At 42.2% G+C, this 1,925-nt stretch overlaps 1 annotated feature.

The window, feature by feature from the left end:
* Window positions 521-1,132: an enhancer, noted in NCBI's record as "OCT4-NANOG hESC enhancer chr5:154854779-154855390 (GRCh37/hg19 assembly coordinates)". NCBI's record gives its function as "activates a minimal SCP1, AML or CMV promoter by ChIP-STARR-seq in naive H9 embryonic stem cells {active_cell/tissue: H9 hESC(naive)}" and the evidence as "EXISTENCE:reporter gene assay evidence [ECO:0000049][PMID:30033119]".

The following is a 1,925-nucleotide window of genomic DNA, read 5'->3' on the forward strand; positions in this document are numbered from 1 at the left end:
ACCTTTTTTCTCTTTCTCAGACTGGTTGGTTTCTCCTTACCCTAAGGACTCAGGTCAGGCATCACCTTCCTTAGCTCTTTCTGACCATCTAGGTAGTATTTAGAAAGTGTCTCACACATGCTCATAAGCAGAGGCAGTATTGCTTGTGGTTAAAGTAGTAGATCTAGACCAAGATTGGCTCAATCCTGGTTCCATCACTTCTAAACACTGTAATTTGGGGCAGTTACTTACTTTACTTCTCTGGGTCTCAGTCTCCACTTGTGTAAAACGGAACTGTTACAAGGATAAAATGAGATGATGCATGTAAAGAGTTTGGCACTTACATGGCAAGTGCTTAGTTAGTTAGCTTTCATTAACTACCATTATGAAGACTCATCAGTGACCATATATCATTCTCATTTCTTCCTCCTAGCCAGGACTGCCTGGCCTGCTGTGAAAGATGGGAATGTTGACTTGCATTCTGCCTTCAATTGCAATGGTTTGGAATTTAAACTGAAAGGTCACTATTTCTGAACCTAGAATTCTGGCATCTTGAGTTAAACTAGGGAATGGCCGTGGCATGACCAAAGCCCCCATTTTTGATAATGTTGTACATCTTAATGAACACACCAACTCCACACCCTTCCCACAGAAACAGTGCTGATTTATGTTTTTAATCAGATTCGCCTTTGCTGATGTGCAGTGAGGAATAATTAGTTGGAGGTCAGTGCAGAGAACTGCACTACACTCAGCCAGGAGGGGATGCTTCCTCTAGCATGTCAATTCCCTTGCTGAGGTAGCTTTCCTCCTTTTTCTTTGTTACTCCGAAGTGAAACTTGATGGGTCTCTGTGGGAAGCCTAGTCATCTCTTTCTCCACACTTTCTCTCCCAGGCCTAAGAAGGTTTACAGTCCCCAGGTGAGGATAAGGACATGTCTAGGTAACCAATTAGGCCAAACAGAGCATTGAGAGACTTGTAGAATACATACAAATTTCAGTGGACTAAAGGTCAGTGTACAATAAATTGAGTCTGAGCCAGGCTTTTTTCCTCCCAGGGTTTGGGATGCTGCAGAGTTTAATCTTGGAGCTCTGAGGGTCTATAAAGGAAGCAGCAGGTATTCAGAATGTCAGTCTTTGTTCCACTACAAAGGCATATGTGCTGTTAGGCTCCAGAAAAATCTTGTCATGTCTAGTGGAAGCATTGGTTGCATCTTTCTTCCCTGTTGTGCTTAGAAGCCCCAGTGCCTGTTCATACACGATGAAGGTGCATACTTTACTTCAACCAGAGTCAGGAAATTTAGGAGGAAAAAAACAAACCTTGGTTGTTATGATCTGAAATTTTAAAGTAAACCCAATAGGGAATGTGGCAACTTAAAAAATGCGGCTTCATTTCTCCCATTGAGAGGTGGGGTCTATAACTCTCTCCCCTTAAATCTGGGCAGCTGGACAGATTCAACCAATAATACATGGTGATAGATGATTTATGAGAGTCATAAAAAGCATACCGTTTCCGCCTTGCTCTTTGAACACTTGTTCTTGGAGCCCTATGCTGCCATGTAAGAAGTTTGACTGCTCTTACACTCACCATATTGTGAGGAAGCCCAAGCCACATGGAGAAGCCTCATGATGTCCCAGTTAGTTTCAGTTGAGACTAGCTCCTGAGTTATGCCAGCCTAGGTGTCAGATATGTGAATGAAGGCACTTCTGGATAATTCTAGGCTCCAGTGGTTGGAGCTATCTCCAGATATCTTAGTCATACTTAGCCATGCATGTCTTCCAAATAGAGGTCCCAGAAATTGGGAAGCAGAGACAAACTATTGTTCTCTGTCCAAATTCCTAACCTGTAGAATCCATAAGTGTAATAAAATTATTGTTTTATGTCAGTAAGTTTTGGGGTGGTTCATTATATAGCAGTAGATAGCTGTAACAGTCAATTTCACGAAGCCA

This window comes from Homo sapiens, chromosome 5, assembly GCF_000001405.40.
Source record: "Homo sapiens chromosome 5, GRCh38.p14 Primary Assembly".
NCBI classification, from domain to species: Eukaryota; Metazoa; Chordata; class Mammalia; order Primates; family Hominidae; genus Homo; species Homo sapiens.